The following is a 25,589-nucleotide window of genomic DNA, read 5'->3' as shown; positions in this document are numbered from 1 at the left end:
TAATAGTGTCCTAACTAGTACCCCTGCTTTCATTTCTTTTTCCTGTAATTCATTGTCACCAAATTAATCTTCGTAGGACACTTTCCTCATTCTCTTACTCATCAAGATCATAAGCAGTTTGATTTCTTGTTAAATTAAGATCCTATCACGCAAGCAGCCATATCTGGTTCCATATTATTTATACAGCTTGATCTCCTGCTGCCCTCCCTGCCAAGGTAGACTTTACTATTCTTCACCACACTCATCTTTCTTTTATGCTCTTGTCCAAGCCTGGAAACCTCTTTCTTCTTTCAAGACTAATTTCAAATCCTGCCTTTTCCCTGATGCCTTCCTTGGCAACTCTGGCCTACCAAGAGCATTCTTATTCCCACATTCCCACAGCAGCTCTCAATGGCATCATACCTATTAGCCGTGGCTCCAGCAGTGATTGGGTCAGTGATCCTGCTTCCCTTGTCTTTCCAACACTGATGAGATGTCTGAGGCCAGGAACCAAATTCTCCTTGTGTGTTTGGCCTTGCTCACCATCTTCTTCCCTCAAACTCCAACTTTCACAGGGTGTGGCCCTCCAAGGGACAGAACAAAACACCTGTGTAATTTATTTGTGAGCTGTGGCCTGGCCGGGTCCTTGGGAAGTGAGATCTACATGATGTTGTAGTAACCCTGGGGCTTTTTGCTGACTTTGGGCTGGGTTGAGTGCTGGGTTGAGCCTTTGTGTTTAGAGATAAGATAACCTTGAGAGACCAGCTGTATGTCCCTGAGGCTTTGTGTCTGGCTTGTGTGGTATCTTTCTTTTATAACATGCAATGAGGGGATGCCAGGAAGTGACCATTAGTATTTCATGACAATCAGAATGTCTAGCAAGCAATCATACTACTTCTCCAGCAAACATTTCAGAAAGAGCTGGGCAAGTGAGGGCTGATTAACATTCATTAGAGACTGTGATGTTAATTTTATGTGTCAATTTGACTGGAACATGGGGTACCCAGATTAAACATTATTTCTGGGTGTCTTTGAGGGTGTTTCTGGATGAGATTAGCATTTGAATTGGTGGACAGAGTAAAGCAGATTGCCCTTTCCAGTGTAGATGGGCATTAGTCAAGCCACTGACGACTTGAATAGAACAAAAAGGCCAAGGAAGAGGGAATTCACTCTCTCTGCCTGACTACTTGAGCTGAGCTATTAGCCTTCTCCTGCTGTTGACTGTGACTTACACCATCAGAGCTCTGATTCTCAGAACTACACCACCAGCTTTCCTGGGTCTCCAGCTTGCAGACAGCAGATTGTGGAAGTTAGCCTCCATAATTGTGTGAGCGAATTCTTTCATATATATGTGTGTGTGTGTGTATACACGTATATACATACACACATGTGTATGTATATACGTGTATATGTATGTGTATATACACATACATGTATGTGTGTATACACATACGTGTATATGTATGTGTATACACACATACGTGTATATGCGTGTATGTGTATGTATATATACACATATACGTGTATATGCGTATGTGTATGTATATATACACATACACGTACGTGTATATGCGTATGTGTATATACACATACATGTACGTGTATGTGTATGTGTATCCTATTTGTTCTATTTCTCTGGAGAACCCTGAATAATACAGAGACCTTTAATGCAGCTTCTTAGTGAATGCTCAGGGCAGGCGGTTTTCCATGGAGACTCTATGCCATAAAAATCATGTGGATTAGAAACTCATGTAGATTAGATGTCTAAGTTGACTAATTGTAGTTGTTGCAAAAATGTCCACAATATATGTTCCCTTTCTTTTATCTATGCCCTTTGATAGTACCCTTCCAACACTGACTCTGAGTTTGACCTTGTAATTTGCTTTAGCCAATGAGACAGAAGCAAATACATCACAGGCAGAGACTTAAAGAACACTTGACTATCAGTACTTGCTCTCTGGCTGCTCCTGAAACCCTGAGCTACCCTGTGAATGATACCCTGAGCTAGCCTGCTGAATTATGACAGACATGTGGCCTAGTATCTCCCTTTGTCCAGCCAACAGTTAGCCAACCCCAAAAGTAGAGCTACCTAGCTGACCAGCAGCGGATCACAGAAGCACCTGTGAGTCCAGATGAGAGCAGCAGCAGAAGGACATATAGGAGTGAACTAAATAGATAGTTATTTAATTAAACCTTAAGTTTTTGGGTCATTTGATATGCAGCAATAGATAACTGATACACTGGTGTAGGCTCTTTCACTGCTTAAACTTAATGGAAATTCAGAGAACATTAAATATTTGGTCTCCAATCTTGGAAGATATTTAAGCAGGAGCATCATGGTAGCTTCAAGAGAATGGAAAAACGAAGAAGCCTTCTCAGTCTTTTTTTTTTTTTGCCTTCTCAGTCTTGAGAAATAAAAAAATGGGTTCAGTTTTCATCCTTTTGGGTTGGTACATGTCAAGGTTGGAGTCAAGACCCCTAGAGAAGTGTTAGGCTGGAATTGGAGATCTGTATGGAAGGGACAGCTGAAGTTGTGGGATAGGACCAGAATGCAGAGAAATTAAAAAGGACAGGATTGTACTGTGGGAACTCAGACTGAGAACTGCAAGAAGGAGTGAGTGGTCAGCAAAGCTGATTGCTAGAAAGGGTGAGCATGACAATAATAATGACTAATAATTTAAGTGCAATTTATAGTTTATGAAATTTACTTACATACATCTCATTTCAATTCAGTGGGATAGAGAGGGTCAAGATCATTATTATGCCCATTTTGTAGAAGACAAAACAGGCACAGAGCCATTACATGCTTTACAAATATCACTTATTTGGTGACATGGCAAATCCCAGGTGTCTTAAAATCCATGCTATTTTCACCTACTAGAGACCACTAGTACTGTAGTTAAATCTGTCAATAGTAAAGTCATCAACAACCTTTAAGGAAGTGGTTTCAGGAGAGCTGGGGGTGGGGTACATGGTAGCTGAGTGGGAGCGATATCTCATGGGGAGAATATACGAGGATATGGGAGGTGAGGAACAGAACTCCGTTGAATGGCAGGAGAATGACTTGATAGGAACTTGAGGGATGACAGGTTTGAAAGGAGGGTAGGGGTGACAAACAAGGTTGTAGATGGAATGGAAGGACTCAGTGGAGAGGGAGAAGAGGAAGATAAAAGCAAGAGAGAAAATTTAAAAAAACAGGGAAAATAAAAAGAATAACAGTAAATAAAAGAAAAAAAATGAAATGAGAGAAATGTTTTTAAAAAGCAGTTCCTGAAGGAGAAGATGCCACTATCTAGAGAACAAGTGAAAAAAGGACTTAGACTCAGGAGGGGCTAAGAGACTGGTAGGAAAGATATGACAGTGAGAGATTTTGAGGTGGAGAAGAAGGAAGGTGAGTCAGTTCACACCTGAATCTTCAAATCCTGAGATCATTTTCACTCCAAGAAGAACAGTTTGCCTTCTTAGGAAGCACCTGACATGGATCTGCCTTTATAATGAGACAACTGAAAGATTTCTGGAATTGCCTTTGTAAAGCATGTTGTCCTTCCTGGGCAGAAATATTTAATTCTGTGATGGAAGGATATTTCTTGGGATAAGGATCCTGCATGACTACTACGTGTGTGTGTGTGTGTGTGTGTGTGTGTGTGTGTGTGTGTGTGTGTGTGTTTACGAGAAAGGACTTCTGGGACCTGGGAGACTGGGCTCATGGTGTAAGGGCACTAAAATACACTAGTTATTCACTGCTCTGCCTTGAATCCAGCGTTGGCCTAAGAGGTGGAGCAGATGCCCTTTCACATGGAGGAGATCCTAATTAAAGAGTACCTTCCTACCCAGATCCTGGAAATTTGCCATCAGGACTTCCTTTCAATGACTCAAGGCTTCTAATTACTGCTTCAAGACAGATGTTTCTGGGAGGAATAACCTACTAACCCTTAGGGTTTGTTAGACTTTTCCTGAGAGCAAGCATTGTTACATGATGAGGATGAGGACAGAAATCTCCCAAGCCCGCTACACTCCTCACATTCTACTGTAAGAGGTTCTGTGGATGTTCCTACATCTCTCACCTTAATCCTTATCACCATCCTAATCACTCACCTGCTGTCTCAAGGTGCCTCTGCAAGGTGCCTAGTACATCATCAGTGCTCAAAAATACATGGATCAATGAATGGCCTCCCAACTGGCCTCTGCTGCCAAGTTGGGCCCCCTGCAACCCATTCGTCAGCATGCTGGCATCCTAGTGATCTTTACTAAAGCCCAGGTTTGGTCTATATAGAGTCCTTCGTGACTCTTTGTTACTTACAGGATTGAATTCAAATCACTTAGCTTGGAATACAAGGTCTTTCATGTATGCTCCTTCATGTTGGACTATACGAGGTCCAACTCCTACAGAGTTTCCCCTTCCCAATCTGGCAGCCCACTCAAAACCCCGTGTGTGCAGGTACATATTGGCACACCCCCTCTAGACTCACTACAGCCATATTGAACTTCTAGATCCATAAACACCTGAGATGTTTTAAACTGTACCTTGCCTGAGTTATTTCTTCCTAGGACACTACCTACTTCATCCTGTGTCCTCCTGGTAAATATCTAGATTGATCCTTTCAGAGTCAATTTAAATGACTCCTCCTCAATGAAGCTTTCCATGAGCTCCTTCATCAAGGTACCAATCTCCCCTATGTGCCTTCCTTGTATCTATCTGTGCTGTTATAGCAGCTGGCACAAATGAATGGCATTTATTTGTGAACATGACTAGATGATAATGTCCCTAGAATGCAGGACCATTTAAACATTTCTTCTTCTTTTTTTTTTTTTTTTTTCCAGTCAGAGCCTCCCTCTGTCGCCCAGGCTGGAGTGCAGTGGCATGATCTCGGCTCACTGCAACCTCCGCCTCCCGGGTTCAAGTGATTCTCCCATCTCAGCCTCCCAAGTAGCTGGGATTACAGGTGCCTATCATCATGCCCAGCTATTTTTTATGTTTTTGTATTTTTTTTTAGTAGAGACAGGGTTTCACCATGTTGGCCAGGCTGGTCTCGAACTCCTGGCCTCAAGTGATCCACCTGCCTTGGCCTCCCAAAGTGCTAGGATTACAGGCCTGGCCATGTATTATGTTCTTAATAAATGTTTAATTGAGAGTTTAGGCAGTAACTTCTTAAGGACAAATTTCCTTCGTTTTCTCTTTTCCCAAGAATTGTCCTGGATATAGCATTAGCTCAGTTACTTTCTTTGTAAAGAAAGAACATAATTACAACTATGAATCTTTTTTTTAGATTGTTTAGTTAAGCATCTGGCCCCAGAGTGAAACCCTATAAAGGGCCATCCACTTCTGGTCTGCCCCTGGGAACACCCTAAGCCTCGTGTCCAGTGCCTGAGAAGATGCAGCGGGTACCTGCATTCTCCCTCCCCAGGGGCTTTGGGGCAGGAGGCAGCCTCTTTTGCTGTCATGAACATGCTCTGATATTTATTTGCATCTGGTTTTTCAGAGGCAGGCAAATGAGGCCCACTGGAAGGATGCACGATGACTGCAAGGATCCTGCCCATGACATCATTTCTGCTTCCCCTTGTCTTGTAGGTTTCTGTTGGCTATTTGCCAGAGATGTTTCCGGGTAGACTGCCTTGTGATCTAAGTTCAGCCTATTATCTGCTCCGCAATCTAGTGAGTTTGTAGACCCAACTATTTTCTAAAGTTGCCCAGCAAAGTGCTCCCAGAATGGAATCTCTGTCTTTGAAGAGGGCGATAAGTTTTCCATTCTCCTCTAGGATCCCTGAGAAGCCAGTAAGCTGGCTTCCATGTGACCTACATGCTCTAGTGCCTCTTTAGGAAGGAGTCCTCACTCTCCACTTTATTCACAGAGACAGAGAATCAGCTTTTCAAGTGGGAAGTTGAGGCAAAATAAATTGCACTAGGGTAGATAAATGTCAGCAGCCACTGCCTTCAGCGTTGGAAGATCACATTCTGAATTCTTCTCTCCCGGAAGCTTAATCCTTCTTATATCTGGGAGTGAAGTTACCAAAGGGAGCAGATTCCTAGTTACCTAATCAAACCATGTGCCGAGAGCCAAAGTCACTGCTTCCTGGATGATTTCTGCAGAACCCAGTTCTTTCATCCTGGTCTAGCACAGACTTGTGCTTCAGTGAGTCACAAATGCCCTTCCCATTGATGTGGGTTGACATTATCAAGGGCCAAATTTTAAAGGCCAGACAATGTCTGGATTGAAACCTGCTGAGGCAACTGAGTCAAGGCTTCAAATACGGTATTAGGACACAAACAACATTTTAGTTTTGGTTTCACAATTATTTTTGGTCATGTACTGTCAATTATTATAGAAGATTTGTGACTCAGTGATATCCTCTTATTAAGTGAATGAACCTATTCCTCTATTGGTTATTTAATAAGCCACAGACATCTGGCAGAAACAAGGGTTTATTTGAAATACTTCTTCACAGGAAAAACACACTCTCTAGCACACCGAAAGAGTTTGCATAAGTATTCTTAGGGGCCAGCCTAAGCAACGGAAAGCATTGTTCTGAGAGAAATTTAACTGCATTGCAGTTCCCAGATATTTAATACTTTAAAGAGGAAGTTCTAAAATTTAACAGTTGATTTTATTATTACTCTTTGGATGTAATTAACTAGGGATGCACTTTAAACTGCTTTATTCTGGCTACTGAAATGGATTTTATGGTTTACACTGGGGAAAAAAAAATTCTGTCAGATCATGGGCCTCTCCCTTGGTGCACATTATTAGAGTCTTTTTAGAGACAAGCAAGCAATTTTGCTGTCACTGGTCTTGTTCAACTAGAGTATGTTTATCTATGCAATACTCTTGGGAAAAGGTGTCAAAAAAGGATCACCAGTTAGCAGCTGACATAGCTCCTGCATACACGCCGAAAAAGCTCCTCAAATAGCAAATGAACACATATATTTCATTTTTTATGTGGCTGATAAAATGTTATATCATTAAGTCAAAAGAACATATTTGTCCCATCTAAGTTGACTTTCGAACCAGCTCTCACTTCTAATACAAATGAGGGCCTTGCAGCTCAACAGAGGATGCTCTGCAGAAACCAAACAGCCATTCAGGACTTGAGGGAAAGCAGGTCTTTAAACATTGAGCACCGGTTCTTTAATGGGCTGTCGGCATATCCCCAATCGGTTCTCAGGTATTTAAATACCAGTGGGCTACAGAGAAACCAAGCCTTCCTGGATGTTTAGTTTAACTTGTGTATTGTTTTATTTCAAATACCGAATTTTCATCTAATTACTCTGTTAAATCAAAGCATCCATTCACTTATGTATTCAATAAATAAATATTGAACAACAAATAACAAATATATAGCAGGCACCATTCTGGGCTCTTGCAAAAGGGTAGACAAAACAAACAAGGCGCCTACCCTTAAGGAAGTTACAATTTGGTCAGGATGTTAAACAAACAAGCATGCAGTAAACCTAATCACAAATCAGAAATGCTATGAAGAAAGAGGTTGTGTATTGGAGTCAGACAGAACTAAGGCCTCAGCTTTTTCTTTTCTTTTTTTGAGACAGAGTTTCGCCCTTGTTGCCCAGGCTGGAGTGCAATGGTGCGATCTCAGCTCACTGCAACCTCCATCCCCCAGGTTCAAGCGATTCTCCTGCCTCAGCCTCCAGAGCTAGGATTACATGCTTGCACCACCAAGCCCAGCTAATTTTGTATTTTTAGTAGAGATGAGGTTTCACCATGTTGGCCAGGCTGGTCTCGAACTCCTGACCTCAGGTGATCCACCCGCCTTGGCCTCCCAAAATGCTGGGATTACAGGTGTGAACTGCCGCGCCCGGCCAGCTTTTTCATCCGTATAATGTAAATGATGACACCTACTTTAGAGTTTGAGAATTGAATAAAACTAGAGACTGCAGATAAGTTTCTTAATGCAGTGCTCAATTTGAGGTGAGATATAATTGAATGCATGGGGAGGATAAATGGCATATTTGTTATGACTTTAAAATTTGGTAAAGTACCCCAGGACAGAAGTTCAGTCTTCACATTTTGAGGTGCTGTTACAGAGACCAGGAGCTAATCATTCTTGCCATTTATTTACAAGAGTAAGCATGACGGTTTACCAATTAGTTTCTCCTAAAGTACAAAGTATTAATTTGGCACTATTAATTATTTTCTTGTTCTTAAAATGACAACTTGTTTTATTCATATTCAAGAATAATATTGATAAATTTATCAAAAATAATATTGATAAATATTAAAACAACAAACTAAAACCCAAGCTTTCTCCTTCCAGATGTATAGATGTATGTATGGAATCATGATGTGCATACAGTCATCCCTCGGTATCTACAGGGGATTATTTAGAGCACTGCCCTTGGACACCAAAATCCATGGATGCTCAAGTTCCTCATACAAAATAGCATAGTATTTGTACATCACCTACACACATCCTCCCATATATACTTTAAATCATCTCTAGATTACTTATAATACCTAATACAATGTAAATGCCATATAAATAGTTGTTACACTATATTTTAATTTGTATTATATTTTATTGTTGTATTATTACTTTTTATTTTTTCTTCTCAAATATTTTCCATCTGCAGTCGGTTGAACCTGAGGACGTGGAACCCTTGGATATAAAGGGCTGACTATATTCACCTGGTGTTTTGCTTACAAATTATTTCAGTTCCTTCGAATGGCATAGTTGTTTGGGGGGCCTTTTCAAGGAATCTTTCACCGTGGAAACTCACTCTTTCACTCCAGCCTCAGTTTAGATTCTTTTATAAAGCAGTTGATTCTTACGGTTCTTTTTCACCACCTGAGACCTGGAGAGATCCCTGACTTGGGATACCCTACTCCCTAGATGTGATGGTTACTTTTATGTGTCAACTAGGCTGGGCTAAGAGATACCCAGACAGCTAGTAAAATGTTATTTCTGCATGTATCTGTATATTAATCCGTTTTCATGCTGCTGATAAAGGCATACCCAAGACTGGGTAATTACTAAAGAAAAAGAGGTTTAATGAACTCACAGTTCCACATGGCTGGGGAAGCCTCACAATCATGGCAGAAGGTGAAAGTCACATCTTACAGGGTGGCAGACAAGAAAGAATGAAAACCAAGTGAAAGGGGTTTCCACTTATAAAACCATCAGATCTCATGAGACTTATTCATTACCATGAGAACAGTATGGGGGAAACCACCCCCATGATTCAATTATCTCCCACTGGGTCCCTCCCACAACATGCGGGAATTATGGGAGCTCCAATTCAAGATGAGATTTGGGTGGGGACACAGCCAAACCATATCAGTCTGTAAGGGTGTTTCTAGAAAAGCATAGCATTTGAATTAGTAGACTGAGTTAAGAAGGTCAGCTTCACCAGTGTGGGTGGGCATCAGCCAATCTGCTGAGGGCCCAAGTAGAGCAAAAAGGCAGAGGAGGGACAAATTCCATCTCGCTGAGCTGGAACATCCAGCCGTCTTCTCCCGTTCTCAGATATTGGTGCTCCTGGCTTTTTGGCTTTCAGACTCAGAGCAGGCCTTCACCATAGGCTCCCCTGGTTCTTGGGCCTTTGGACTTGGACTTCAGGCTTCAGATGGAATGACTGAATAATTACACCCCCAGCTTTTCTTTTTCTCCAGCTTTCAGAGAGTGGATCATGGAGACTTCTCAGCCTCCATAATCACATGAGCTGACTCCCACAATCTCTCTCTCTCTCTGTATATATATATATATTATATATATATATAATATATATATATATAAAACATATATATATGTACATGCTCTAGTGCCTATATATATGTGTGTATGTGTGTGTGGTGTATGTGTGGTGTGTGTGTGTGTGTGTGTTTCCTTTTGGCTCTGTTTCTCTGGAGACTGCTAACTAAGACACTAGAGATTTGTTCACCATTTACTATGTGCCCCAATTATATTTAATTTAATCATCAAATAGCCCTGTGAGGTGGGTATTATCCTTTGCATTTTTTAAAGATGAAGACACAGAAGCTCAAGGAGGTTAAGCAGCTTGCCCAGGGTTAACAAGTTAAAAAGTCACTTAGACAGAATTTATGCTTATCTCAATTACGTTAACCATTAATTGGGTGCCTGCTATGTTTCAGACCTGTGCTGGGCTAGGTGGTGATGATATACCATTGAAGGAGACAGATGTGGAGGAAGCAGATGGTTAAATAAGTAATTCGAAGTGTGATGCTGTTGTGAGAGGGAGACACAGAGGGGAGTAGGAGCATGTGACAAGGGGACCTATTGTTGGAGGCTTCTGTGCAGAACACCACCGAGATCCAAGGGGTGAGGTAGGCAAAAGGGTCTTGGAAAGATGTGGTCATAGGCTGGGGGAGAGGGTGGCCTAGGTGAATGGACAGCATGTACAAAAGACCTAAGGCACAAAAGAACATGGTGTGTCTTCACCAAAAGAACTGCGAAAAGGTAATTGTATGTGGAGTTTCAAGACCAAGAGGGACTCACACATCCTCACATCCTGGATACGATGAGGGAGAGGATGAAGGAGAAGGAAAAGGACCAAGTCATATTGGGCCTGGAAGGCTTTGTTAGAGTTTGGACTTTATCCTAATCCCAGCAAGAAGTCATTAGAGGACTTTAAGCTGGGAAGCAATTTAATCATATTTAAATATTTTTAAAGATTATGCTGACTACTTGAATAGAATGGAGTGGGAAGGGGTACACCTGAGGAAGCAAGAGGACTAATTATGAGTCTATTGCAATAGTTCAGGTAGAAAATAATGGTAGTTTGGACCAGGGTGGTGGTGGAGGAGATGGAAGTGAACACATTCTAGAAATATTTAGTAGGTAGACCTATGGATGGAGTCATTTGGAATGCTTTCAATTGTAAGTAGTAGAAACTGATTTAAAAGTACTGACTTACTGGCTTATATAACTGCAATATGTAGAGATGAGGCTGGATTCAGGCAAAGCTCAGTAAACTCTCGAGGGGACTGCTTTCTGTTTGGCTCTCTATTTTACCTTTTGCCATATGTGTTTTATCTTAAAGGGACTTCCCCCATGCCCCATGCTCCCAAGGTAGCTGCCAGTGGCTCCAAGGCTACATGCTTCTTTCTTTTCACCCTATTTGAAAGAAAGCATCTTTGTTCCAGCATTCTCAGCAAAAGTCTCAAGTCTCACTCTAATTGGACCAATTTAAATCTCATGCACATTTCTGAGCAAATTATTGAAGCTAGAAAGATGGAATTCTCTGATTGACTTAGCTCAAGTCATGAGCTCTCCTTCTAGAGCTGTGGGGTCAGCTTTTCTAGAGCTATGGGGTCAGCTTTTTTTTTTTCCCCAGATGGAAATGGAGATGGTTGAGAAGGCAGAAGGGAGGAGTGCAAGCTGGAAATGAGTAAGGGTCTTTTCTCTTAATGGGTTGAATGTCAGTCAGAGTTTAGGGAAAAGAAGGTCAAGGATGACCCTCTTCTAGTGGTATCTCTCATTGAGGAGGGGAGCAAGAGAACCAGGTTTGTGAAGGAAGATAATGAGTTCAGTTGTGTTTGCAGGGCTGGAGAAACATCCATGGGGAGATGTCAACCAGGCAGTTGCATGGGTTAGCTGAAAGCTCAGAATGGAGGTCCTGGCTGAAGAGAGATTTGTGTGTTGTTGACTTACCTGATCCCAAAACTTGTGCTCTTAATTTGAGGCATATTTTACATTATTCTTAAGGACTGACCAGCAAAAAGATGAGACTGCCTTCATGGTGGTGGGGATTTGGCATTGTTGTGCGGAAGATTCCAAGGTAGTAGCTCCAAATGGATTGCAGTCTGGTCAATTGCCACAGCAAGTCTTAGTGGCTGAGGGACATTTAATCACACAATGGTTATATATCTCACTTATATATTCTTTTAATGCTCACAATTATTAGTTTCCCCATTTTATAGATAAGAAAACTGAGTCATAAAAAGGTTACACCTGAGGTCATGGAGCTTGAAGAGTAGCATTGGGATTTGAACCAAGAAAGTCTGACTCTGGAGTCCATAGTCTTAATTTCTATACATACTGTTCCGCTCAGGAGGGAAATGGCTAAGATGGGCATCAGTCAATCAGGTGTTTTTAAACACAAAGCCAAATGGTTGCTCTCATCTATTCATAGTTCCTGCTGGGATGCTGGTCTCTGGGTTCTGAATTACCTTTGAGGGGCACAGCCCTAGAGGCGAGCATTCCTGTTTACAGTGATCTTCTAGGCCCCAGCATGACAAACAGGGGAAGAACCCTTCATAGTCCAAGGTATGAAACCACTGAGCAAACCAGATGATACATGTAACCACGAATGGGGTTTGTGATTGAGGATTCTGGGCCTCTGGAACCTTCTCTTGCCCCATTCTTGCTAATTCTTCATCCTTTCTAAACCATTTCTGACAGCATGACAGAACCGGGGAACGTAAAATGAGGTATATGGCCCTTTGACTTTTTCCTTAAGCAAAACAGAAATGATAGCTCTGTCCTGTCATTTTGTATTATCTGTGGCTCTTTGTTACCATTAGTATGGATAATTAAGAGCTGAGGATAAACTCTCCTTTTTGTAAAATTACTTTTTTTATCCACTGACTTATAATATCCCTAACATTTTTCCCTTTGAATGAATGATATAAACAAGCAGGAGGAAAAAAAATAACACTCATAGTAAGCAATCCTGTGAACTCCCTACATTATTTAGTGAGAAGATTTTTTTTTCCCCTGAATCAGATGTTGATCATAATGGTCAAAATAATCCTTGGTACTTTCTCTAAGCTTGCTCATTATCATTCAATATGTTCAACAGAATTATTAAATTTAAAATAATATGGTGCACCTGGTTGAGATGACGGTGAGAGATTTGGCTTCCTGTCTCTTCGTTAAGGATGAATTCAGCCCTAGGGTATACTATGAACTTGGCAAATAGCATTATAATAGTGAGAGAATATTGCCTATTGGGTAGCAGGAGTTGATGATTAAATTTAAGTGTGTACTGTCCACATAAAACAAATAATGCATTTTTTTTAAAAACTTTTACTGTGAACATTCATCACTGGTGCTGAAGATGCACAGTTGCTAATTATTGTGTTTTTAACTGTTAACATACTGTAAATTTTGTATAATACTACTGTGACCTTATACAGAATAGAAAAGATGACAGGAAGCCTATAATTATTGTATGGGGAAGAAATGCCTATAATTGTCTACTATTTTTAGGAATAACATGCATAGCCCCTTAATTTACATAAGCTTTAGACATTCACACATTTTTTGTCTTTGCTTGTGGATGATAAATTTTGCTCAAATGAAATCAGAAGACATACTGTTAGATGAGGAGTTAGCCAACTGCGAGCTTGGTTACAATGAACAACACAAGCTTTGGTGCCACCTAAAAAAGGGAACATTTATTTGGATGGAATTTGTTTAAGGCAAGATTCAAAACATTAAAAAAAACACACACACAACACCATATTACTATATTGGGGCCTGATAACGTGTGATTATTTTTTAGAGAATTGGTTAAATTATCTTGTGGAAAAGCATTAACCTAACAAAGAGAAAACTTCCAGGATATTTATCACATGGAGGGTGATTATGACAGCATGTTCTTATTAGAGAGGAATATTTTGTGCTCATTAAGGTTACCTCTTAAGTGCTCAAGGATGCAAAATGCTTTGCAGTGAAGTACTACACTTCTGTTGTCCTGTGAGCACTTGCTGTTAGCTGGAGGCTTTCATTCCAAACTGAGGGGCCTCTCTAAAAGATCCAGCCCTGGTGGTGCCTGTATCAAAGCCACTAGGCAAATGGAAGGGACCAGGAGGTTTTCAAGTCCAACACTCCGGGGATGCATCTGCAAGAATTGAGGGTGATGTTAAGAACCCTCTGGTTTCCTAGTGTGGAGTAGCAGGTAGAAGGACAAGGATGGACTTGGTCCCTGAGGATCTACAAGTGATCCCCACTTGAAGGAAATCAATACGTATGATTCTAAACTCAAACTGTAGGCAAACCCGAACTCAAGCTCCTCACCTTATTGGGGATTTTTCACTGTAAAAATAATTAAAAGCATGACTTCCTCCCAAGTAGAAGTTTTCCTGAAGCACATAAGACTGTTTTTGTTTTGTTTTTTTAGAAAATGACTATAGCTTTTACTAGCTTACTGGAAATGACAAATATGCATTTACTTATTTATTTATAAGACAGGGTCTTGCTCTATTGTCCAGGCCAGAGTGCAGTGGTGCAGTCACAGCTCACTGCAGCCTCGACCTCCTAGGCTCAAGCAATCCTCTTGCCTCAGCCTCCCATGTAGTTGGGACCATAAGTGCATGCCACTACACCTGACTAATTTTTAAATTTTTTTGTAGAGACAGAGTCTCACTTTGTTGGCCAGGCTAGTGTTGAATTCCTGGGCACAAGCAATCTACCTACCTCTGCCTCCCAAAATGCTAGGATTACAGGTGTGAACCACCATGCCAGGCCTACAATTATAATTTAAAAGATTGCATACAACTGTTTAAAAATAGCCTAAGAAACCAGCCTGGACACAAAAACCTCATCTCTACAAAATACACAAAAAAATTAGCTGGGTGTGGTAACATGTACCTGGGGTCCCAGCTACTGGTGTAGGGGGTGGGTGCTGAGGTGGGAGGATCGCTTGTGCCTGGGAAGTGGAGGTTGCAGTGAGCCGAGATGGCGCCACTGCACTCCAGCTTGGGTGACAGAGAGAAACCCTGTCTCAAAAACAAACGAAAAACAAACAAAAAAAAACAAGAAACAAAACAAAAATATCTTAAGAAAGATATAGCTTCCCTCAAACCCCTCTTCTCTTCCCCGACATTTTAAAATCTAAGGCATGGCAGAAAAGCAAGTTTAAAGTCTTGGCTGATTGAGGCACAGCCAATTTTGGTTGATTGGGGTTTTCAAGGGCCATGTAAGAGATAATTTTAAGTGGTCAGGAGTCAGCAAGATGTGTAGATATTCATCATATCCAAGGCCTCAGCGTGCGTATGCACCTTAAATTTGGTTTGTTTGAATCAGGATTCGAAGAAGGTTTACCTATTGTATCGGGAGGTATATATATATACCCCCCTCCCACCTCCCCGAAATGGAGTCTTGCCTTGTCGCCCAGGCTGGAGTGCTGTGGCATGATCTCGGCTCACTGCAACCTCCGCCTGCAGTGTTCAAGCAATTCTCCTGCCTCAGCCTCCTGAGTAGCTGGGATTACAGGCGCCTGCTATCATGCCCAGCTAATTTTTGTATTTTTGGTAGAGACAGGGTTTCACCATATTGGCCGGGCTGGTCTTGAACTGCTGACCTCAAGTGATCTGCCTGCCTTGGCCTTCCAAAGTGCTGGGGTTACAGGCGTGAGCCCTGCATCCAGCTAGGCGGTGTATCTTTTGAGTCTCTTAATCTATAGGCTCATCTTCCCATTCTTTTTTTCCCTTGTAATTTATTTGCTATAGAAACTTATTCATTTGTCCTGCAGAGTTTCCCACATACTAGATGCTATTTATTGTATCCTTGTGGTATCATTTAACAGATTTCTCTGTTGCCTGTATTTCCTGTGGGCTGATAATCTTGATTAAGTTCAGATTTGGATTTTTGGCAAGATTGCTTCATAGGTGGTATTTGCTTTTGTCAGGAGACACATAACATCTGTCTCTCTTTTTGTGTCTCTTTTTTTGTGATATTAGCAACAGTTGACTATCATAGCCTAAATCCATTATTTTTTTGAGAATTGCAAAATGGTGATAATTCTATCATCTCATTGACATTTTTTAGCTACACTACTTTGATGGTAAGAAACTTCCCTTCATCAACTATTTGGTTACCTAGGGTATGACTGGTTTGACTAAAGCAGTCTCCTCCTCCTGTAAGCTTCTCCTCTTTTTGTGGTAAAATACGTTGAATTTTGAAGATAAAGACATCTTCATGGGTTTTCAGTGAGATGCTGGAGTGTAGAGATAAGCTTAGAATGTAGAGATCAGCTTAGAAATGTTGAAGTGTAGAGATCAGCCCAGCCCCCTTCAAACTTCACTTATCATCATCTGCTCTTTTGAAATGGCAATGATAGGGCTGGGTGCAGTAGTTCATGCCTGTAATCCTAGCACTTTGGGAGGCCAAGGCAGGCGGATCACTTGAGGTCAGGAGTTCAAGACCAGCCTGGCCAACATGGCGAAATCCTGTCTCTACTAAAAATATAAAAATTAGCTGGGTGTGGTAGCATGTGCCTGTAATCCCAGCTACTCAGGCGGCTGAGGCAGAAGAATTGCTTGAACCCAGGAAGTAAAGTTTGCAGTGAGCCAAGATCGCACCACTGAACTCCAGCCTGGGCAACAAGAGAGAGACTCTGTCTCAAAATAAATAAATAAATAATAAATGAAATGGCAATGATTGCTCTTTGACCTATGTTAGAGTTGCTTTCATACCTGCCTTATCCCCTCTATTGGATGTAAGCAACTTGAGGGCAAGCTCTATGTTCGATTCTTTATTTTTTAAATATTTTACACTCAACACAGTGCTTGACACATAGTAAGACTTTAGTAAATATATGTCATTTGGAAGAATGAATAACTGAATGATGAAGCCTTGGGGAAAATGCCATTCTCTTAGGGTGATCATTGCCAGTGTGGACTGGTAGAAAGTACATTAATCTGGGACTCAGTTGGACTTAAGCTTGAATCAAAGTCTTCTACTTTTTGTTCTTGGTCAAAATGCCCTAATTTCTGGTGTATAAAACAGCGCCTGCCCTAGTGTGCTCACAAAGTTATTGTTAGGATCCAGCAATCCAGTAGGGAGCTGTGGTTTGAGGGTAAGGACTTGGCAGCTGAACAGAGAGCAGTGTGATGGGTGCCCACCGTTTACCCTCTCCAAGCCTGTTAAGTTATCTGTAAAATGAGAATAACAGTAGCTTGTTTCCTCTCCAGGTTGAGGTAAGAATTAATGTATGTTGGCCGGATGTGGTGGCTCATGCTTGTAATCCCAGCTCTTTGGGATGCTGAGGTGGGTGGATCGCTCAAGGTCAGGAGTTCGAGACCAGCCTGGTCAACATGGCGAAACCCCATCTCTACTAAAAATACAAAAATTAGCTGGGTGTGGTGGTGCATGCCTGTAGTCCCAGCTACTCAGGAGGCTGAGGCAGGAGAATCGCTTGAACTTGGGAGGTAGAAGTTGCAGTGAACCGAGATCGTGCGACTGCACTCCAGCCTGGGTGACAGAATAAGACTCCATCTCAAAAAAAAAGAACAAAAAAAGAATTAATATAATGTATGTATGTTAAGTAAACCTTTAAGAAAAGGTTTTTGTTATTTTTATGTAAAAATGCTTTGTTATTAGAAGTGCTATGCAAATTTATTATTATTAAAAGCAATGCTTCCCATGAACTGTATCTTCTTGGTCTTTAGAATTGTCTTCTGCTTGAAAGTGCTTTGGAAGTGATTAAAAAGATGAGATTGTTGGTTTAGTGCTCACCAACTGAGGATCAACACTGCCAGGATGCCAGTCTGGTTTGACTTGCTTCCTCTGGCCCTGGCGCTGGCTGAGTGCTGGCTAGGGGAGAGGCCCTGGATGAAAGATGTCCTGGCAGCAGGAACATTAACACTCACTCTTGAGCCAGGAGGTAGGCGTTAATGTCTGTAGCTGGATTTCTAGCAGTGGAGATATTTAACACCCTCGCATGATCCAGCAACCAGGCACCCTCTCTTTAAACCTAATTTGGCAAGTGAAAGAGAGAAAGAGTATTTCCAGTTGAGCAGTTGAGAAAGTACATAAAGCTCTGTGCCATGAAGACAAAAGCCAGTTATTGGAGGCTGAACATTATATGGAGAAGGAGTCTTTTTTGATTGCATTGTCTAGAGAGTTACTCTGGTGGGACTTTTCTTAACAGGTCTCACTCAATATGGGCCAGTGGGGCATGTTGGGAAAGTAGTGGCTCTAGGGCAGTGTAAGGATGTATGAGGTTCAGGACAGGTTGGAAATCCACATCTGAATGCAGCCTGAAATACAATACTGTGACTAGCGTGGTTGCCTGAATGGTTCTGTTCCCAGGAGGACCAGGAGTTCCTTGGCATGGTTGTGGGGGAGAAGGATAAATGGGAGAACTCAGAGGAACCAGTCCCTCAGGAGAAAGAACAGGAAGTAAAGTGCCTCGCCCAAATTGCCCTGTGAAGCTGAGCCCAACCAGCTTGAGGTCAATTTGGAGGATGCTATGGGCATCCTAGTTACAAAGTTCATGGTAGAAGTCAGGTCACTGCAAGAATGAACAAAAGCTCCTCTTTTGTCAGGGTTTGACTGACGGCAATGGTGAATTTTGACTTTGACTGAGCTTGAAACGTGCTTGTTTTCTCTCCAAAGCTGAGGCCCATTTGCACAACAAGCAAAAAGACAAGGTAAACAACTTCTGTTTAGACTTTCCAAGGTCTGTTTCTCTAGATGACATCTCAAGAACTCTATGACATCACCTCACCTGGGAGTGAACCCAAACACTGAGGATCCTTTCAACATCCAAAAAGGGTCACTTCTTTGAAATGTGATGACTCCCTAGGACAACTTTCTCATTTAAATTACATAGCTATCAGAGGAGCCCAGGCCAGGAGGTGAAGCAGAGCAAACTCACACTCTTCGACTACAAAAGCAAATGCATATTTTTGATGAGCCTGCAGTGGCTGCCTTTGCATGCTTGGAATGATGTTTTCTTCCCCTTTTTGCCTACGAGGAATGTTGTAAGCAGGCATAAACAAATGCCTTCATTATTTATCCTAGTCTCACTGCACTAAATCTTTGTACATGGGAAATTTGCTGTTTTGTTTGGCTGGCAATTGCTTAAGCTAAGGGGCCATGAGAGTCTTTCTCAGGGTTGCATCTTGGGATTGTTCTAGTGCAAGTGAATACCCATTAGACTGAAAGTTGTTATAAAAATTGAAACCATGAGATTGAGTAAAAACTTCTTCATCACTCTTACCTCTGGCACCTTGTAGCCCAGGTTCTACTGTGATTGTAAGAGTAATCGGCCAGGCACGGTGGCTCACGCCTGTAATCCCAGCACTTTGGGAGGCCGAGGTGGGTGGATCACAAGGTCAACAGATCGAGATCAGCCTGGCCAACATAGTGAAGCTCTGTCTCTACTAAAATACAAAAAATAGCCAGGTGTGGTGGCGCTTGCCTGTAATCCCAGCTACTCAGGAGACTGAGGCAGGAGAATCACTTGAACCAGGGAGTCGGAGGTTACAGTGAACTGAGATTGCGCCACAGCACTCCAGCCTGGTGACAGAGCGAGACTCCGTCTCAAAAAAAAAAAAAAAAAAGAGAGAGAGAAGAAAAAGAAAAAGAATAATCACCTCTCCAATGGGGCTGTGGCCAAGTGTGTCAGAGAGCCCTCGATGAATGTCTTGCTGGAAACCAGACTAATGGGCAGTCTTCTCTCCAAGTTTTTTCATTTTGTTTTGTTTCATATTTAGAATTATCCTTCCTAATACAGAAGAAATGGTATAGAACAGCAGGTTTTCCAAATAAAAACTCTGGTTTGGATGATTATTAAATACCTTGTTTTATGTCATGCTAAGAAAAGTCATTGACTACTCTTTCTGCTCTTCCTTTTCATGAAACTCCCAGAGACTAAGTTAGAGACCCAGATGGAGTGGACATCTTGCCATCTGTCCCGAAGCTGCAACTTTCCTGATTCTCCTTGCTTTCATCAATGAATGGCACTACCATTGTCCTCATACAGGAATATGGATACCTATTCCTGAAGATTCATCCTTTGCTATTCCTCCCAAATATGGCTAGACATTTTCACTTCTGGTTACAGTATCATATTTCAGGGTGCATTCAGATGTAGATTTCCAACCTGTCCTGAACAACATATTAACATTACTCTAGTACAGGCCTACAATCTCCATATGCATCTCAACTCCTCTTTCTGCCACTGCAATGCAGTGCCCATGGCCTATAGTTACCTATGTGGGCTAAGTACTATGCTAAGTGTTTTATATGGGTCTTTTCATTTGATGCAAACAATGATGCTAAGAGGTAGGCACTCTTTTTATACCAGTTTCCAGGTACTTTGCTCATGGTCACATAGCTAGAGGAACTGGGATTTGAATCAAGATATTTGCATTTATCATTCCAATTCTTCACCCCTTCCTGTGTCCTTGCCTTTTGCCATGTGACTTTGTAGTTCCCCTATGAAGAGGTGGAATCCATTTTCCTACCCCTTGATTCTAAGCTCAGCCATGTGACTTGCTTTGGCCAATGGGATGATAATGGATGATATAAACAGAAGCTTTTAAGTAATGCTTGTATATTTCTGTTTGCACTCTTGTCCTCTCCCATGACCATGAAGAAAAACATGTCCAGGCCAGCCTGTTGGAGGATGAAAGATTCATTCATCAAATCCAAGTCATTCCAGTTGTCCCAGCCTTGGCTATCTATGGTCAGCTTACAACCAGCCAACCTTCAGACTTGTGAGACCAACCAGGACAGCAGAGCTGCCCAGCTGCCTAGCCTCCAAAATCCATTACATAATAACTTTCAATTATGTCATCTTTCTGCTAAAATCCAACCTATGAATCAGTTAACCAATCTACCCATCTTTTAATAATTCCATGCTGCCTAAAGATGAAGTACAGATTTTTGGGTTCCTTTCTGGCATGTAAAAACCTTAGAAGTAGCCGCTCCACTCTAAAAACAAGTAAAAATCTGACCAAGCTGAAAAATCAATTCTTTTTAGATCTGTCAGGAAGTGAGGTTACAGGGTAAACCATTGCCCTTAAAACCGGGGAAACAGACAGACAGATAAGAGAATGACAACTTACCGAAGTAGAAACCCACAAGCAGAAACCTTTATAGAAACCAATGCTGGGATAGGAAAACCTGAACTGTAATTGATTAATTACTAAAAGCTCAGTGTGGACAAATCTGTGAATTAAAAACTCTAGGAGGCTCCTCAGACTTTTTCGAGTCTTACTGCCTGGAGCTCTACTATGTTCTCACAGTGAACATCTCCTCATGGTTCTGGCAGGGGGATGGAGAAAAAGTGGCCATCTTGAAGTATGCCAGAGCATTCTGTTCTCTTTAACAAGGCTTGCCCTCAAGAGAAATTATTTTACCAGATCCTAACCTATCAGGGGTTTAGACAGACTAACCAAACTGGCGAAAGGGAAATACCTAACTCCAGCAACTTCTATCCACCCTGTCCCATCTAATATGGGGGGAAACTGAGAGTCACTTGTGAAGTTCACAACCTAGAGGCACAGGCTCACTAAAAGACTAAGACCTAATCATAGGACTATAGAATCCTCCCCCTACTCCCCACCCCCACACAACACCTTACTGCTACATCACTAAAGGTCTATTTACTGCAATTCCTCTCATCTAGTATATTACGTCCAGACTAAAAAAAAAATTACAATACATACTAAAAGGCAAACAACAACAACAAAAAAAAACCCAGCCCCACCCCTCCATTAACCGCCCCCCCCACCCCCAAAACAACCCAACAAAACACTATCTGAAGAGACACAGCAAGTGTCAGAACCAGACCCTCATGTGGCAGGATTGTTGACATAATTAGACCATAAATTTAAAACAACTACTATTAATGTGCTGAGGGATCTGACAGAAAAAGTAGGCAACATACAAGAACAGATGGATAGAGAGATGGAAGTTCTAAGAAGGATTTACAAAATACTGGAGAACAAAAACACTGTAAGAGAAGTTAAGAATGTTGTTAATGGGCTTACTAGTAGACTGAATACACTGAGAAAAGAATCTCTGAGCTTGATACTTGGAGATTAAACAATATATTTCTAAATAATTAATGGGCCAAGAGAAATTTTAAAATATTTTAATGAAATGAAATTAAATTTAAAATACATAAAATGAAATAAAAATGAAAATACAACTTATTAAAATTTGTGAGATGCAGTGAAAACAGTGCTTAGAGGAAAATTTATAGCATTGAATGTAGATATTAGAAAAGAAAAAAGGATCAACTACTTGTTGATCTTGGATTCTATGCTTTTTACCTGGGTGATGAAATAATATGTACATCAAACCCTCACAACACACAATTTATCTACAGAACCAACCTGCACATGTATCCCTGAAACTAAAATAAAAGCTAAAAAAAGAAAAGCAGAAAGCTCTAAAATCAATCATCTAAGTATCCACTTTAGATACTAGAAAAAAGAAGAGCATATTTAACCTAAAATAATCAGAAGGAAAGAAATTGCAAAAACTGGAGCAGAAATCAATGAAATTAAAAACAGGATATCAACAGAGAAAATCAGCCAAACCAAAAACTGGTTCTTTGAAAAGATCAGTAGAATCAATAAGCCACGCTAGAACAGGGTAACTAAGAAAAAAAGAGAAAGGGCACAAATTACTAATATTAGGAATGAAAGTAGGGGGACATCACTACAGATCCCATGGACGTTAAAAGGATAATAAAGGAATATCATGAACAACTCTATGCCCACAAATTTGATAACTTACATGAAATAGAATAATTCCTTGAATGACACAATCTGCTAAGACTCACACAAGAATAAATAGACAATCTGAATAGGCCTATATTGATTAAATTAAATCAATAATTCATAATATACCCAAACAGAAAGCACTGGGTCTAGATGAGTTCATTAGTGAATTCCACCAAACATTTGAGGAAAAATTGTACCAATTATCTACAACCTCTTTCAGAAGACAGAAGCAGATGGAATACTTTCTAACACATTCTATGAAGCCTGCATTATTCTACTACCAAAATCAGAAAAGGACATTATGAGAAAAGAAAATTACAGAACAGTATCTCTCAGGAGCATAGATGCAAAATCCTCAACAAAATATTAACAAAATGGAATCCAATAATGTATGAAAGAATTACATATCATGACCAAGTGAGATTTATCCCAGGTATGCAAGATTGGTTCAACATTTGAAAATCAATTAATATAATCAATCACATCGACAAACTAAAAAAGAAAAATTACTTGATAATGTCAGTAGGTGTGGAAAAAGCATTTGAGAAAATCCAATACCAATTCATGATAAATTCATCAGACTAGGAATAGAGGGTAAATTCCTCAACTTAATGAAGAATATTTATAAAAAACCTACAGCTAACATCATACTTAATGGGGAGAAACTAGAAACTTTCTCACTCAGATTAGGAAAAAAGTAAAGGTATCCCCAGTCATCCCTGCTTCCCAACATTGCACTGGAAGTCCTAGCTAGTGCAATAAAACAAGGAAAGAAAATTAAATATATATAGATTGGGAAGGAAGAAATAAAACTACCTTTGCTCGCAGATTACATGATTGTTTATGTAGAAAATCCAAAAGAATTGACCAAAAAAACCCCAAAAACTCCTAGAACTATTAGGTTGGTACAAAAACCACATGGCAGAAACTGCAATTACTTTTGCACTAACCTGATAAGTATGGCAGTAAGGTTGCAGGATACAAGGTTAATATACAAAAGTCAATTGCCTTTCTATATACTGGCAATGAAATGGTGGACTTTGAAATTAAAAACACAATACCATTTACATTAGCACCCTCAAAATGAAATCTAACAAAATATATACAAGATCTATATAAGAAAAACTATAAAACTGATGAAAGAAATCAAAGAACTAAACAAATGGAGAGATATTCCATGTTCATGAATAGAAAGACCAACATTGTCAACATGTCAGTTCTTCCCAACATGATCTATAAATTCATTGCAAACCCAATCAACATTCTAACAGTTTGCAATACAGTTATTGGCAAACTGACTCTACAGGAGAGGCATAAGACTCAGAATATCCAACCCAGTATTGAAAGAGAAGAACAAAGTTAGAAGACTAACACTACCTGACTTCAAGACTTACCATAAAGCTACAGTGTGGTATTGGTGAACAAATAGGCAAATAAATCAATGGAACAGAATAGAGAGCCCAGAAATAGACCCATAGAAATATAGTCAACTGATCTTTGACAACTGATCTTTGACAAAGGCAATACAATGGATAAAAGATGGCCTTTTCGGGAACTACTAAACATCCACATGCAAAAAAAAAAGAATCTAGACACAGACCTTACACCCTTCACAAAAATCAGCTCACAGACCCAAACATAAAACACAAAACTATAAAACTCTTAGAATGTCATAAATTTGTTAAACATAGTTGCTGCATTGGCTTCAATATTTGGGGCCTGACATAAGTTCTTTGAAACCCAGTTGTACCCTGTCACCTTTGGCCTCATTAAAACTTTTTCTGTGTGGTTATTTTTAATATAGCCCACTTGTTCCTCATCTCATTAACCCAAAACCCAACACATTCCATAGCTGCTGATTATGATGTCAATATCTAATTGTCAACACCAGAATTATGTGAAAAAATCCCCTACTTTGCATTTTTGTTTGTTTTTGAGACAGGGTCTCACTGTATCACCCAGGCTGGAGTGCAGTGGTGTGACTATGGCTCACTGCAGCCTCAACCTCCTAGGCTCAAGCAATACTCCCACCTCAGCCTCCTGAGTAGCTGGGACCACAGGAGCACACCCCTATGCCTGGCTAATTTTTGTATTTTTTTTGTTGAGACAGGGCTTTGCCAATTTTGCCTAGGTGGCCAAACTCCTGAGTTTGAGCAATCCACCCACCTTGGCCTCCCAAAGTGCTGGGATTACAGGCATGAGCCACCACACACAGCCTGGCTATGTTTTCTTTAAAGTAGCCAATTCACAGCTCCCATGGGAAAACCTAAGGACTAGCGCCCTTGATAAGGGCAAAGTCCCACAGGTCTTCTTTCTCTCCCACTCTCCACCTGATGGTTGAGCTCCCTGCTGCCTCCAGATTTCCTGATGACTTCCTATCAGCACCCCTAATCTCTCTGGTACCTGTAAGTAATACATTTCTTCTGTTTTAGGCATTCTGGTTTCAATTCCTCATTCCTCATTGTGCTTCACCTGACACAAGCACTTGAACCTAACTTTCCTCCTGGTCAGCCCTCTCCTAGAGGGTGGCTATCTTGGCTTATTGCTGCTCTCAAGAGAGAGAGCTCAGGATCAGATTAGAAAAAAATCACAATGTAGAAGATAACATGGGACAAAATATAGATTGCCTTGGGTTTAGCAATGACTTTTTACATATAATACCAAAGGCGTGATACATGCAAGAGATAATAAGCTAGACTTTATTAAAACTAAAAATGTCAGCCGGGTGCGGTGGCTCATGCCTGTAATCCCAGCACTTTGGGAGGCCGAGGTGGGCGGATCACGAGGTCAAGAGATCGAGACCATCCTGGCCAACGTGGTGAAACCCAGTCTCTACTAAAAATACAAAAATTAGCTGGGCGTGGTGGTGCTTGCCTGTAGTCCCAGCTACTCAGGAGGCTGAGGCAGGAGAATCGCTTGAACCCAGGAGGCAGAGGCTGCAGTGAGCTGAGATCATGCCACTGCACCCAGCCTGGTGACAGAGCGAGCCTCTGTATCACAAAAAAAAAAAAAAAAAAAAAAAAAAAAAAAAAGAGAGAGAGAGAAAATGAACAACTTAATTTAAAAATGGACAAAACACTTGAACAGACACCTTGCCAAAGAAGATACACAGATGGCAGATAGGCAAAATAAAAGATGCTCCACATCACATGTCATTGAGGAAATGCA

The 25,589-nt window shown here is 40.9% G+C and overlaps 2 long non-coding RNA genes across 2 annotated transcripts in view, besides 2 other annotated features; both read left to right on the top strand.

The window, feature by feature from the left end:
• Positions 1-25,589, top strand: part of LINC02609 (long intergenic non-protein coding RNA 2609) — a 68,667-nt gene that overhangs the window by 23,947 nt on the left and 19,131 nt on the right. The gene's annotated exons all lie outside the window — the stretch shown is intronic.
• Positions 16,001-16,142: a silencer, noted in NCBI's record as "fragment chr1:91277119-91277260 (GRCh37/hg19 assembly coordinates)". NCBI's record gives its function as "represses an EF-1alpha promoter that drives an FKBP-Casp9 reporter gene in an ReSE screen in HepG2 liver carcinoma cells {active_cell/tissue: HepG2}" and the evidence as "EXISTENCE:reporter gene assay evidence [ECO:0000049][PMID:32094911]".
• Positions 17,196-20,232, top strand: LOC124904217 (uncharacterized). The gene is made up of 2 exons (XR_007066218.1): positions 17,196-18,329; positions 19,552-20,232. It is a non-coding gene; the product is annotated as an uncharacterized LOC124904217 (long non-coding RNA).
• Positions 17,557-18,168: an enhancer, noted in NCBI's record as "NANOG-H3K27ac hESC enhancer chr1:91275093-91275704 (GRCh37/hg19 assembly coordinates)". NCBI's record gives its function as "activates a minimal SCP1, AML or CMV promoter by ChIP-STARR-seq in naive H9 embryonic stem cells {active_cell/tissue: H9 hESC(naive)}" and the evidence as "EXISTENCE:reporter gene assay evidence [ECO:0000049][PMID:30033119]".

The sequence above is a fragment of the Homo sapiens genome, chromosome 1 (genome assembly GCF_000001405.40).
Source record: "Homo sapiens chromosome 1, GRCh38.p14 Primary Assembly".
NCBI classification, from domain to species: domain Eukaryota; kingdom Metazoa; phylum Chordata; class Mammalia; order Primates; family Hominidae; genus Homo; species Homo sapiens.
The sequence above is the reverse complement of the archived record's forward strand: the minus strand, read 5'-3'. Positions and strand labels throughout refer to the sequence as shown.